The following is a 15,361-nucleotide window of genomic DNA, read 5'->3' as shown; positions in this document are numbered from 1 at the left end:
CTCTTTTGGGATTTTCCTTTTCACAGGTCTGATTTCCTGTTGCTTTCTTTTCTTTCTCCTGCCCAACCACTGCCCAGCCACAGACACCATGCAGGTTGTATGGCCGTTGGCGGTTTTTCTTCACCTGTTTGCGTTCTGGGTTTGGTGAGGATACTTTGTCACATGGATTTGCTGTGCACATTGTTCCTGGGTTTTGGGTATTGCTCTCTAGTTGTTCTGTCTGGTTTTATACGTAGAGAGGCGAGATTCAAAAGCTTTGCTGATGCTGTTGCCATCTCAGCTAGTTTTCTTTTTATGTAGTTTTGAGGTAAAACATTGAGCTAGCTTTCAGAGTTTGTGTGTAAAAATATCTTAAACTGGTGAATTTAATGGTTTAAAACAGAGTATTATTATCGAAGTAATAATCATGAATTAATCATGAATTACTCATGATTATTATTTGGACGTTTAATTTGAGACAAGAATCTTAAAAGGTATAGATATTAAGTCCCAGAAGGGATTAAGGCAAGTTTTGCTATTGTAGCAGTGTTTGTTTTTTGGGGGGATATTATACTACAGATCAGCAGTCCCCAACCTTTTTGGCACAAGGGACTGGTTTTGTGGAAGACAGTTTTTCCTCGGATGTGGGGCAGGGGAGGGGATGGTTTTGGGATGTTTGAAGCAAATTATATTTATTGTGTACTTTATTTATATTATTATTACATTGCAATATATAATGAAATAATGATACAACTCACCATAATGTAGAATCAGTGGGAGCCCAGAGCTTGTTTTCTTGCAACTATGCAGTCCCATCTGGGGGTGATGGGAGACAGTGAGAGATCATCAGGCATTAGATTCTTACAAGGAGCCAGCAACCCAGATCCCTCACATGAGCTCTTCACAACAGGATTCACACTCCTATGAGGATCTAATGCCGCTACTGATCTGACAGGAGGCAGAGCTCAGGTGGTAACGCAAACAACGAGGAGCGGGCTGTAAATACAGATGAAGCTTTGCTTGCTCGCCTGCCACTCACCTCCTGCTGTTTGGCCCGGTTCCCAATAGGCCACAGACCAGTACTGGTTTGTGGTCCAGGGGTTGGGGACCCTTGCTATAGATAACCCTCCTTTCTTGAAAAAAAGGATAGTATTTAAGATATACTTCCAGTATTTAAGATAAAGACTGTTTTGATTTCATAATTGTGTTATTAATATGACTCGTAAAACTTTGACACAAGGGATAGCCATAGGCTGGGTAGAAAACAGTTGCTGTTGGTGGGAGCTTGAGGAACAAGGATTCTCTCTTCATTTGTAGCTTGGCACTTTCTGGATCAACAGTTTAAGGAAACAAATTCCTGACTAAGTATCCTTGACAAATGAGAGGAGTAGGCTATTTTAAGTTCTTTCAACTGAAAGTCACTTTCATTGAAGGATGAGAATTACCAAGCATCTTTTTTCCCCCTGCAGTAAAAACTAATTTCTAGGCAGTCATATCCTGCCCAAGTGGTGCTGGGTGCTTTGTTATTTGGATGACACTGGACTGGGACAGAAGGCAAAGAATAATGCAGTCTGACCCGCTGTTATTTAATCACAACTGCACGACAACTCTAAACTAGAAAGAGAACTGTTAATAAGGATGCGATCCAGTTACCTGAATGTGTGTGGGTTGTAATGAGAAATGCCTTGAGGTCCAGCGGAATTCTAAGGTCACACTCCCCAAAATAATTTTTAGAAAAGCTTTACTAAGTTAACTTCAATGTAAACTAAGCCAGAAAGTATTCAGAAGGGCAAGTTTCAGTACATAGGAAAAGTAAATTAAAATAACTCAAAACACATGTAAGTCAGATAAATAGCTCAGTATCTTTTTTTTTTTTTTTTTTTTTGAGACAGAGTCTCGCTCTTGTTGCCCAGGCTGGAGTGCAGTGGTGTGATGATCTCAGCTCACTGCAACCAACCTCTGCCTCCTGGGTTCAAGTGATTCTCCTGCCTCAGCCTCCCAAGTAGCTGGGATTATAGGCTCCCGCCACCAAGCCCAGCTAATTTTTTTGTATTTTTAGTAGAGACGGGGTTTCACCATGTTGGCTAGGCTGGTCTCGAATTTCTGACCTCACGTGATCCACCCGCCTCGGCCTCCCAAAGTGCTGGGATTACAAGCATGAGCCACCATGCCCAGCCTGCTCAGCATCATTTTGAATGTTTGAACTTTTAGTTTTCTAGTAGTTTAAGCAACACCATCTTGAAAACTTCAATTCTGCTTTAAGAGTTTTTTTTCTTGGCTGGGTGCAGTGGCTTCTGCCAGCCCTTTGGGAGGTTGACGTCGGAGGATTGCTTGAGGCCAGGAGTTTGAGACCAGTTTGAGACATACTGAAAGCTCATCTCTAATATTAAAAAAAAAATAAAAATTAAAAAATAAAAAGAAATTTAAGAAAGATTTTTTTTTCTCTTATGAGACCACTAAGACTTTTCTTGCCCAAACCCACTTGTTTATTTGGAAAAGTCATAAGGAAAAGATAGCCTTTGAGTGAGAGAGATTTGGTTTTGAATCTCAGCTCTGCCATTTATCAAATGATTTTGGGAAAAGCCACTTAACTTTTTTTTTTTGAGACAGGGTTTGGCTCTGTCACCCAGGCTGGAGTTCAGTGGTGTAATCTCTGCTCACAGCATCCTTGACCTCCTGGGCTCAAGCCATCCTCCCACCTCTGCCTCTCGAGTAGCTGGGACTATAGGAGTGCGCCCACCACACCCGGCTAATTTTTGTATTTTTTTGTAGAGATGGAGTTTTGCTGTGTTGCCCAGGCTGTTCCCAAACTCCTGAGTTCAAGCGATCCGCCTGCCTCAGCCTCCTAAAGTGCTGGCATTACAGGCGTTGAGCCACCACACCCGGCCTCACTTAACTTCTTTGCTATTCTTTTTTTGACTTCTTAAGTTTAATACATAGTTTAAAATTGTTGAGTCTTCTTTGCTAATGTAAACATTTTAGTCTGCATATGTCTAAGTGACCACTTTAGTTCCACAAGTGTTATAGTAGTTTTGTAATTGTTTATTTCTAAATGTTTTCTAATGTCCATTATCATTTCTTCTTTAACACATAGTTTATAAGATTTTTACTTTTTAGCGTGCAGCTATTTTGCTATCATTTGGTCCTGAGATCTAACTCAATGAGGCTGTAATCAGAGAATGTGGCCCTTATGATATTGGTCCCTGAAATGTGTTGGGGCTGTCTTTAGCACCTACCAGGGGTCAACTTTCATAAATAAATCGTGTATTTGAAAATAATTTTTTATATTAATTGGGTGCAATATTCTATACATATCCATTATAGGAAGTTGTTAATTTTGCTGTGCAAATTTTCTATATCCTTACTAATTTTTCCCTTCTGCTTGATCTTAGTAATTGCTGAGAGTGTTGTTAAAATCTCCATTTAAGATGATAGATTTGATAATTTCTCTTAGTGATTCTGTCAAGTTTTGCTTTATATATATTAAAGCTATGTTACTAAGCGTATGTAAGTTTGGAAGTATGTCTTCCTCAGATGAAAAATTACTAAGAGGAAACATCAGAGGTAAGTAGGGGTTCTGGCTCAACTGGCCTAACAGGATTCTTGCTGAAGGCAGGTCAGTGTGATCAGACATCACCTGGGGGACTGGGAAGGATGAGGAGTTTGATCAGATATCAAGGGTGATCACACATTTGAGGGTAGGCAAACTGACTTAGCAGGATTCTTGGTGCAGCTGGACAATGCAGAGATGAGCTTGGAAGCCCAAAACTCAGGGCCTAGTTGAAAGGAGAGTTCAGAGGAGCCTCATTAGAGTTTAGTCAAGGAGAGAATCTTTGTCATTAATGAGGTGCATCTTTCTTTTTAATCTATGTATTTCTATGAGATCTTTTTTTTTTTTTGCTCTTATAGCTATTGAAATTAATATTGAAATATTTTTATGAGAAAAAAGTTTTTATGCTATTTATAAAATGAAATAATTAAAATAGTAAGAAAAGCATGTCTTACCATTGAATTGAACATTTTATTATATAGAGATTCTCTTTTACTTTGATAATGATTTTTATCTTAAAGTCTATTTTGTCTGGTATCTACTATATAGGTGTACAAGCTTTCTTTTGGTTAGTATTTGTCTAATATATACTTTTTCTTTTTTTCACTTTCATTTTATTTTTTTATTTTATTTTTGTGTTTTGAGACAGTCTTGCCCTGTTGCCCAGGCTGGAGCGCAGTGGCACGATCTCAGCTCACTGCAATCTCTGCCTCCAGGGTTTAAGAGATTCTCCTGCCTCAGTCTCCCAAGTAGCTAGAATTACAGGAGTGCACCACCACGCCCAGCTAATTTTTGTATTTTTAGTAGAAATGGGGTTTCACCATGATGGCCAGGCTGATCTCGAACTCCTGAACTCAAGTGATCCCCCTACCTCAGCCTCCCAAAGTGCTGAGATTACAGGTGTGAGCCACCGTGCCCAGCCTTCTTTTCACTTTTAATTTGTATCTTTATGTTTTTGGGTATATCATTGTAAATAATATATAGCTGCATTTGAAAGTAATGCATTCTTTGTCTTTCAGTTAAGACTTTAGTTCTTTTATATTTATTGTGGCTATTGACATTTTTGGATTTAATTCTACCATCTTATTCTTTGCCTTCTGCTTATTCTGTTTTTGTCTCTTCTTTTTCCTCAATTTCTGGCCTGTGTTTTATTTTTCTTATTCCAACTGTGCTTGTCTTCTTAGAAGTCATATACTTTATATCTCCTCATTTAGTAGTTAATCAATTTTAATACTTGAGTATAAAGTTTAACATTTATTATTCCATTAACTTTTCTGTTGAATAATCCCATGACCTTACTCTAGTCATCGTTATCCAACTTACGTATTACTGGTGTCCACTCTTTCATTCTAATTTGTTTTCTTCCTCCACTAATTAGACATGGTTAATACTTTTTTATGTAGTCAGTATTTCTTTACTCCTATAATTACTAATATCTGTACTCTCCATTCCTTTCTGCGTCTCAGGGATTCTGTCTGAGATCAATTTCTCTTCTGCCTAAAGGATATCCGTTGGTAGTAAACTTTCTTGTTATTTGAAATATCTTTAAGTACCTCATTTTTGAAAGATACTTTCACTAAGTAAAAATTTTAGGTTGGAAGTTATTTTCTTTGGCACACTAAAGGCATTATTTCACTGTCTTCTGGTATTTATTATTGCCTTTAAGAAGTCAGTCATTAGTCAGTTGGGTTTTTTTTGTTTTTTGTTTTTTGTATTTTTTTTTTTTTAGGTGATGCAGCTCTGGCTGATTTTAAGGTTATCTCCTGTCTTTATTATTCTAGGTGTTGATTTCTTGTATTTATCCTGCTTGAGTTTCACTGGGTTTCCAGGATCTGTAGCATGTTAATCTCCTTCATGAGTTCTGCAAGTGTTTGTGGAGCTACAGTTAATAGTTTTGCAATTGCTTATTGCTAAATATTTTCTAATGTCCATTATAATTTCTTCTTTAACCCATACATTGGGAAGTTTTTTTTTTTTTAATTAACAACTCTGCTCTACTCTTAACCATTATTTTTTTGAATATTGCCCTTTCTCTATTCTCACTTATTTTCCTCTGAAACTCCAATTAGATGTTGGCTAGACCTCCTCACTCCATCTTCCAATGTCTCTTAACCTCACTTTTGAATGTTTTTGTTTATATCTATATCTATGTCTATATGTATTCAGTATTCCATTGTAATTCTGTTGTCTATTTGGCTATATCTTTAGTATTATTTTTAGTGGTAGCTCTAAGGATTACAATATAATATACGTACATAACAACTGACATTATAGTGTTAACATTTTAACACTTTAAGTAAATGTGTCCTATAACCATATAGACTCTACTACCCCATCCCCTGTGTTAGAGTTGTCATATATTACATGTACATACATTGGAAAAAACCTAGACTATGTTCTGCTGTTTTTCTTGCAATACTCATACATATTTAATTTAATTTATTTATTTACTTTTTAAAAATAGAGATGGGGTTTCGCCATGTTGCCCAGGCTGGTCTCAAACTCCTGGCCTCAAGTGATCCTCCCACCTTGGCCTCCCAAACTGCTGGGATTATCGATGTGCATCACTGCACCCCGCCTCGTACATATTTTAAAGAAGAAAAATAGTCTGTTATATTTATCCAAACCATTTCTGTTGCTCTTCCTTCATTCCTAAAGTTCCATGTTTCCTTCTGGTATCATTTCTCTTCAGCCTAAAATAAAACTTCCTGTAGTACTTTTTTTAGAGTAAGCCTTATGGTAATGAATTCTCTTAGTTTTTCTTCATCTGATGTTTTTATTTCACCTTCATTCCTGAAGGGAATTTTCTGAGCTGGCAGGTCCTTTCTTTCATCACTTTACAAATGTTGATTCACAATCTTTTCTGGTCTACATGATTGCTGATGACAGTCATTTCAAACACTTCTCTTACATGTATTGTGGCATTATTTTATGTCTTCCTTCAAGTTTAAAAAATTTTTTATCTTCAACAGTTTGATGATGATGCATTTGGACATGTTTTCTTAGGGATTATCCTATTTGGGGTTTCTTGAGATTCTTGTATGTGTCCATTTATGTTTTTAATCATATTTGGGATTTTTTCAGATATTATTTCACTTTTTTTAAACACCAATCTCTCCTCTCTTTTTGGGACTCCAGTGCATAAATGTTAGACCTTTTGATAGTATCCCAGAGGTTCCTTAGGCTTGTTCATTATTTTAAAGTAGTCTTTTCTCTGTGTTCTTCAGATTGTGTACCTTCTGTTGATATGTCTTCAGGTTCCCTATTTTCTCTGAGAGCTCTTATCTTTCCATTCGAGACCATTCACCTTTGCTTCATAGCCGATGATTGTAATAGCTCCTTTAAAGTCTTTGTCTGGGCCCGGTGGCTCAAGCCTGTAGTCCCAGCACTTTGGGCGGCCGAGGTGGGCGGATCACCTGAGGTTAGGAGTTCAAGACCAGCCTGGCTAACGTGGTGAAACCCCATCTCTACTAAAAATACAAAAATCAGCCGGGTGTGGTGGTGCAGCCTGTAATCCCAGCTACTTGGGAGGCTGAGACATAAGAATCACTTGAACCTGGGTGGCGGAGGTTGCAGTGAGCTGAGATCACGCCACTGCACTCCAACCTGGGCAACAGAGTGAAAGTGTGTCTCAAGAAAATTTAAAAAATAAAGTCTTTGATAATTCCAACTTCTGGGTCATCTTGGGGTTGGCATCTGTTCATATTCTTTTCCCTCCAGTATCGGGTCTCTGGGGCTTGTTACAATTCTCTAGGGAATTTTTTTTTCCAGCAAAATCAACCTGGTTAGGAACAGACTGTAAGTTTTGTCTCACCTAAAGCTCGTGATCATTCTGCAACTCTGTTCATTCATTTTTTTCATGCCAGCACAACATTGTAGTTTTTTATTCACTAGTATTTTACTTGTTTTAATCAATCTCTTATAATAATGCTACCCCATAGAGCTGTTACAAAGACCAAATCAAGTAATGTATACAGTACCACCTGGTACAGTACCTAGCACATAGAAGGCCTTTTAGTAAATGACATTGTTCTAGTTTCTTCCAGTGGACTATCTCTTTGCTTGATATAATTGAAAATTAAGTTAAATTTCCTTTACTGTTGCGCATTTATAAGATTTGGTAATGCCTCATATAGCATTCTGCCAAGCTACAATGATGTTTTGAAAAGATTTACTATTGTGGAATACCAAATTGTGAAATTTACTATGAAATAAATCCTCTTAGATTATCTTAGAAGCCTTGGCTGGAGGAATATACTAATAACATACTTTGTATGTGTGTGTATGGTACACTATACATAACATAAAATTTACCATTTTAACCATTTTTAAGCATAAAATTCAGTGGCACTAAGTACATTAACAGTGTTATACAACCATCAACATTATGCATTTCCAGAACTTTTTCATCATTATAAACAGAAGCTGTATGCTCATTAAACAATAACTCTTCAGCCTCTGGTGACCTCCATTGTACTTTGAGCCTCTGTGAATTCTCCTATTCTAAGTACCTCACGTAAGTGGAATCCTTGTCCTTTTGTGCCTGACTTACTTCACTCAGCATCACGTCCTCAAGGTTCATCCATGTTGTAGTATGTATCAGAATGTCCTTCCTTCGAACCCCTGCTTTCACTTGTTCTGGATATGTATGGTGACATATCTCTTGACCTGTCATTTGTATTCATGCCTTCTTGAGGTCTGTTATCCATCAGTGGGGTGTGTTCTTTGACTTCTAGTGATGGAAGTGAGTCTAATTCCTTCTGTGACAATTTGCTTTCTGGCTTAAGATGTGGTCTGTGTGTTCAGCATACAACTCTAGATGTCCCACTGTCTTCCAGGTACTATGCCAAAATGTGAAAGAATGCCATTTGAATATCATCTATGGGAGCATTTAGTTTTTGAAAGCAGCAGGGCTCAGACCTGGTATGACCCATTTCATGTTGTAAAGTCAGCTTTTCCTTGGGGAGAGAACACTGGCCCCGTCAACAGGGTGAAGGTGGGTTCACGGTAACTGAGTTATTCGGGAAGGGCAGGCCAGGGCTGGCTGACTAGATGAGATAAGAAGGTAACACTGTCTTTTGTGTCTTTTTTTGAAAAGAGTAGTTGTTCACTTGACTTAGGAGCCAGTGTGTGGCATAAGCTCAGGAAGCAAAACATGATAACCCTGGAAGGTGAGAACCTAATATAATAGGATAACAGGGCACACAATATTTTTTTCTAACCTGCTCCAAGACACCTGATCTGAATGAGTGTGTGTGAGGCATGCTGGGGTCCCAGAGGTGCAGATTTGAAATACCTGTTTAATGTGACCTTAAATTTCTTTTCATGTCTTGGTTCTTTTGAGGCCTAACTTAGATTAAGAGGTAACAATGATTCTGATGTTCCCTGCCCCTCGAATATTGGACTCTGTATCGTCGGCCTCTGTGGGAAAACAAAGGTAAACTGTTGAGTAGAGAGTCATGCTGAGGGATGTCTAGCTTTAAGAGAAACTTATGCAAAAATAAGAATTTGGAATGGATGAAACTTTCAGAATTATCTGGCAAAAAATCTTATAGATGAGGCAACAATGGCCCACGAAGTGGCACAAAAGGATATCCCACTGAAAGACTATTTAAAATTGATGTTTATGCGGAAGAGGGTCACCCAGGGGTGGGGTGGGGTTTGGAAATCATGCAAACCTAAGGAACAGAGGACTTTTTTCATGAAAAATAATGTTTATCCAGTATGTACTAGGGGCTAGGTTGTGTTTTAAGTGCCATAGATACAACAGATAACTAGATCTAAATCCTTATTCTCATGGAGGTTATAATTCTAATAAGGAACAGACTCTAAACAGGTAAATTTATAACTGACTGTGATGACGGACTGCGATTCAAATAAAACAGAATAATGGATAGAAAATGATTAGAGTATAATGCAGTTGTGCTCTTGGGTCTTTTATTTATAGGATTGGTGATGGTCTCTCTGAGGTGATGACATCTGAGCTGAAATCTAAACAATGAGCAAGGCTAGCATGACCAGTAGGGAGGGATTGAGGAACAAGGGGGACTGTGATGTAGGGTCAGGGTTAGGTTGGAGAAGTAGGCAGGGTTGGATTACATAGAGCTTTGTAGGCCTCAAAGGTGTTTGGTTTTCATCTGAAACACAGTTAGAAGCCATTGGATCTAATTAACATTTTAAAGAGACCACTCTGGTTCTGTATGGGGTTTTGTGATAGTCCTGGTGAGAGATGATGGGTCTGAGGAACCAGGTGGTAGGAAGAGAGAAGCTAAGAAGTGATCTGATATTTGGAAGTACCTCTGAAAGCATAGAGAGAAAAGAAAAGACAGGAATCTAGTATGACTCCTGGGTTTTGGGGAGATGGTGATGCCCTTAATTTGAGATTGGAGTTCCTGGGAAAGGTTGAATAAATTACTGAACCTAAAGACTAAGAGGTGAATGAGTTATGATTATTCTACAAATGTCTGAAAGATGATGGAAAAAGAACTTGATCTATTCCATCTGATCCCTGGGAACCTAGAAAGGGACAGCAGAGGGAAGGTCTCCAGGAGACAGATTTCAGTTTAGCTATAGATTGGGAACTCTGTTAGAATGATCTGAACATGACAGGGACTGCCTACCAGGAAGTGATATCTGTCACCCAAATTGTTCAAGCTGAGACTGTGGGACCATCTATTCATAGACTGACTTCATAATTTATTGTCCAAATCAAGACACTTTTGACAGCGAAATGGGATGCTCTTAATTATGCTTGGATAATACTGACTTAGGACTTTTCTCAATCACTTTTGCCAGCCGGAGATACCTTGCTAGCAATGCCCTTGCCCCACCTTGGTCTGTGACTTCAGGGCTAGCTTGGCCTCACCACCATTTCTGTCATGTGGGGTGGCTGCTCTGTGCCGGTGAAGGGCAGAGGGCCATGATGTTACAGCCTTTTCTGCTCCAATATTCAGTGGGTCCCAAGCTCTTGTCTCACATCCAAGAAGAATGAGGATATGCTGACAATCAAAGAGTGAGGAGGGCGGAGAAAAATTTTATTGAGCGACGCAACAGCTCTCAGTGGAGAGGGGACATGGGGGTGGTCCCCCATTCCCACAGTTGGGTGGTTTCTCTCTCAGTGTGGCTGAGTGCAGGGCTTTTATGGGCTCAGAATAGGGGAATGCATGCTGATTGGTTTGTGTGTATGCAAAGAAAGGCTAAAGCAAAGACACCACTCAAAGGTGGGCATGGCAGTGTAGAAAACCAATTAGGAAAGGGTAGGTATATGTAAAATTAGTGAAGGATGGGGATCAATCAGAGGAAAGTGTGCCAAATGGGAAGGCAGGTTCTCAATCCGGTCTGTGGCTTTGACTTAAAGCTTGGCTTTCAGGCTTTAAACTGTCTTCCACTTGGAGGTGGGGTTTCACCATTGACCCATCTCTATTTGCCTAGGCATTTGTCTGCCTCCTCCCACTATCAACAGGTATAAATCTGGACTTCCCTTGTCAAATAGGGAATGGTATTCATCCTACCTTATTTCTGTTCATCCTAGAGACACTATAGAGGGGATGCTTTTAGGTACAGGTTAAAATCAAGTAACTTTTTGGCATCCTTCCAGATCTAAGGTTCTGAAGATCTTTGGTACATTTTATTTAACAAAAAATGTTGATGCCCAAGTTTTCTGGATTAGTTCAAGTACACCTGTAATACAGGTGGCCTCCTGTGTGGAATGCCCTTCCCACTCCTGCCCTGCCTTACTTGCTCCTCCTTCTTACCTCCCGCAGGAAGCACTGTCAGGGCATCACCCCCCTGACTTTGATTGGGTGCCCCACCTTTGGCTCCCATAGCTCATTGAGCTTCTCTTGGCCACAGTACTTAGAACAGGCTTGAAATCATCTGCTTGTTTGTCTTCCCTTCTCAATGATGTACTTTGGTTCTGTATCCCCGGGGGCTAGCACAGGAGTGGCATAGAGAAGATGCTCACCAAGTATTTGCGGAATGCGTAGATAGCATCATGAACCTATTCTATAGATTCGTAGTCATGTGCCATTACCCACATATACCTAACTACATGTTGAGTGCTTGTTATGGTATATCCTCCTAGCGAGCCTATATGAGAAATTTTCATAGTATACTAATTTTACTGATTGAGGAAACTGAGGCTCAGAGAGGAAAGTCACTTGTCCAACCAACATTACATGGCTAGTGATGTAATAGGAGAGCCAAAATTGGCACCCAGAATTAGCCACTTGGCTCAAGTGCCTACTATCTGTCCCGTTACTCAAGACTTACCATACACTTGATAAGATTCTCAGAAGTCCTGCAATTAAAAATTAGTTTAACTTTGAGTAACCCAGTGCTTTCCTAACTACTGTGACTCCTTTGATGGTGGGAACCTTTTATTCTCCGTACCTACTACCATCTTATGGAAAACTGTCAGGAAACAGCTGTTGGGAAGTGCTTGAATAGTGGAAAAAGTTCTGAATTGTAACCCTGCAGCCGTGGGTTATTTTCCTGGCTCTGCCACTATCTGCCGCTTTTCAGGGCCTATTTTCCCATTTATAAAATGAGGGAATTTCAGTAGATATCTTCTCAGATCCTTCCCACCTTTAAAGTCCTTTAAAAGCATACTTTTAAAATCCTTTAAAAGTATGCAAATGTTCCCTGCATAGTTTGCCTCCACCAGCAGGAGAATCAGCAGTCACCACCTTGCCACTGGTGCAGTGTTCTGCTGCCCGGTGAGATGAGATGTGCCAGGCTGGCAGCCTGAGGAATTAGCTCTGCAGAATGTTCAGAATTTGTTCTGTGTTCTTGTGGCTGTGGGCTGAGATTGGCTGGTACAGTACCAGCCTGTCGTTTGAAGGGCCAGCAACAGAGCCATGATGTTATATGGTCATCTGCATGTGTATGTCTCTTACTGTTAATATAAGTAGGAAGTAGATCATCTCAGGCTGTGACCCTGTGCTGCCTTTGCAACAAGAGCCCCTGTCCCTTGAGGATGCTCTTTTTCCTGTCTTTTACAAATAATAAATGAGATTATTTATATTGTTGTTTACCTCCAAGACAACGTGTGTGGGAGAATTTCCTGTTCTTAAAATGCCTTTTCTATGTTCTGTCTTCTCTTTGACCTCTCTTCTCAGAAGCTTGAGAGCTTGTAAGGCGTGAAAAAATAACATAGAAGCAATCAGATGGCATTCCAACTTTCTGTAATTTCCCTGTTTTAGACACTGGAAAAGACCTGTAAAGATCTATAAGTAAGCTACTAGCAATGTAAGGAACCTAAGTGGAGCCTTCTTACAGAGTTGAAATAAATACCTTCATCTTGGGTGTACACGCAGATGTCTTTCCAGAGGGAAACTAACCGTACCATCTAATAATATTGAGGATTTTTGTAAATGATTTTTAGCAAGGGCTATAAAGACACGCTCTCAGGTTACAGTGATGCTACTTGTGGAAATTTAGCAGAAGCAAAAAATGTACATGAAGGTGTTTGAACATGTTCACTGTAGTGTTATCTATAATAGCAAAAAAACAACAACAGACAAACTTGAACATAACCTGAATGGTTCAATGTTAGGAGACCGGAAATTATAGTGTATTGACAAGACAAAAATATTGGTAGCCACTGAAAGTGATCGTTATGAAGTTCAGATAAAACATAGAAAAATATTCAATAAAATCAATGAAAACATTCAATATAAAATTTGGAAAAACTGTAAAAATGTGTATGCTTACTGATGAAGCTGGAAGATGAATATAAAAATAAAATTTGTAATGGAATGATGAATATAAGTAATTTTTAATGAACATTAATTTGATATTGCTTTTGTTTTTTCAATGTAAAATTAAGTCTTAGCTCCATTAAAAGAAAAAACTAAAACTAAAATGAAAATATGAATAAAAAATATGTTCGCTGTAGACGTTTCAGACATTAAAAATGGAACAGGGCCTAGAGAGGTGGCTCATGCCTGTAATCCCAGCACTTTGGGAGGCTGAGTTGGGAGGATTGCTTGAGGACAGGAGTTCAAGACCAGCCTAGGCAATGTAGCGAGACTCCATCTGTACAAAAATTGAAAAAATTAGCCAAGTGTGGTGGCATGTGCCTGTAGTCTTAACTACTTGTAAGGCTGAGGTGGGAGGATTGCTTGAGCTCAGGAGTTCAAGGTTACAGTGAGCTATGATAGTGCCACTGCACTCCAACCTGGGTGACAGAGCAAGACCCTCTCTCCAGAAAAAAAAAGGCACAAGAAGAACATTAGATATACCCATAATCTCACCACCCAGAAATAATCATCACAAACATTTAAATATATGTTCTGCTAATATTTTCTTGGGATATGTGGGTATGTGGGTGGGTGTCTCTATATATTGATGTATTTTTAATTGAATTTGTACAAACATTTTTGTAACTGGCTTTTTTCACTTTCAGTAAAGGGCAGACATTTATTCAAATTTTATTTTTTCAGCATATAATTTTTAATGACTATGATGTATTCGTTCAAATGGTATGAAATAAATGATTCTGAATATTGTCACATTGCTTTCAAGATAGGTTATACCAATTTACAGTTACTTATTTGATGAAAATGAGTAAAAATTGTTTTTAAATAATAAGAAATATTTCTCTCATTTTTGTTAATTTTTTTTACAAGCCCCAAATCAGTTCCCCCTGCCCTGATAATTATGCAGATCTTAACTGAAAATGAGTAAACTAGATCACTTTTAAGGCTTCTTTGAGTCCATAGATTCCTTGGGCCATTTTTTGCACATTCTCAATAGTGCCTAGAAATTCTGCCTAGAATTTCCACTCCTTTCTTAAGGACATGAAATGTTTTGAGTGTACTGATTACTGATTGTGTGCCTTGGGAATGCAATGTATTATAGCATGAGGGATTTCACTAAGAACTGAACCAAAAAGTATTGAAAAGTTCAAGTCTGCCTGAAGTTTCATAAATATTTTTACCCTGTTTGAAAAAGCAGGCATTTTTCTCTCCCATGCAGTCTATTAAGTCATCAGGGTACCTGATTTAGGATTTAATTTGAAGTAAGCTGTCAGACTTGACTACCTACTTTCATGATGAATTTGTTTTTAGCCTTTATTCAAGCCTCATTCTTAGCTTTCCATACTTGTGTTGGGTACTGAGGAAATATTTTTACTGTGTGCTCTTTACTCCATTTAATTCCTTCAGTTGCTAAATTCTCCTCTGGTTTTATTTATACTTCATGAATTTGAGCAGATCTGTAATTTCTCATTGTTCACTGATGCCAGTTGAAAAATTCTCCCGGGTTGTTTTTATAGGGGTAGCTGTCATGTTTATACTACGTTTCAAGAAACGTCCATCTTTTAAATTTGCTTGTCTAAATGCATTTAATTTTTAAGAGAGCAGTTGTAAAGTTGTGCACTTGACATCTTTACACTTGAGTATGCATAATTATACAGAGCTTTCTTTTTCCTGTGCTGATTTTATTCTGGGCTGTGTGTGTATAAGAAGCATAATTTGCCACCTCTGGCAAGAATAAAGGCACCTTTGCTGTCTTGTTTCCTTTTCTTTAAGCTGCTACTACAAGTCTGGTTATGTCCCCAGGGAGAGGTGGGAAACATGTCTTTGCTCTCTGAAGTCCATTTCTCAAGGGGACCTCAAAACTCACGTGGGTCCTATTTACATTGTAATTGGTCACTGGCTGGCTCATACAGCTGTTTCAACTTAAACCCTAGACAGTTGCTATGGAGATGGTTGACTAGAAATAGGTCATGTTAAAGTCCTTTTTCCTCTGGATATAAGGGAGTGCTGTAACTCTGGAAATTGTCTCAGTTGAGCAGAGAATGTGTAGGTGGACAACCACATCCAAAAA

At 38.7% G+C, this 15,361-nt stretch overlaps 1 protein-coding gene across 12 annotated transcripts in view, besides 2 other annotated features; it reads left to right on the top strand.

Moving 5' to 3' along the window:
• The window catches only part of SUMF1 (sulfatase modifying factor 1), a 432,784-nt gene that overhangs the window by 25,162 nt on the left and 392,261 nt on the right, over positions 1-15,361 (top strand). The window lies entirely within an intron of this gene.
• Positions 9,323-10,109: an enhancer, noted in NCBI's record as "OCT4-NANOG hESC enhancer chr3:4473683-4474469 (GRCh37/hg19 assembly coordinates)". NCBI's record gives its function as "activates a minimal SCP1, AML or CMV promoter by ChIP-STARR-seq in naive and primed H9 embryonic stem cells {active_cell/tissue: H9 hESC(naive and primed)}" and the evidence as "EXISTENCE:reporter gene assay evidence [ECO:0000049][PMID:30033119]".
• Positions 15,011-15,110: an enhancer, noted in NCBI's record as "active region_19347". NCBI's record gives its function as "activates an Ori minimal core promoter by ATAC-STARR-seq in GM12878 lymphoblastoid cells {active_cell/tissue: GM12878}" and the evidence as "EXISTENCE:reporter gene assay evidence [ECO:0000049][PMID:35858748]".

The sequence above is a fragment of the Homo sapiens genome, chromosome 3 (assembly GCF_000001405.40).
Source record: "Homo sapiens chromosome 3, GRCh38.p14 Primary Assembly".
NCBI classification, from domain to species: Eukaryota; Metazoa; Chordata; class Mammalia; order Primates; family Hominidae; genus Homo; species Homo sapiens.
This window is presented reverse-complemented; position numbering and strand designations above follow the sequence as displayed.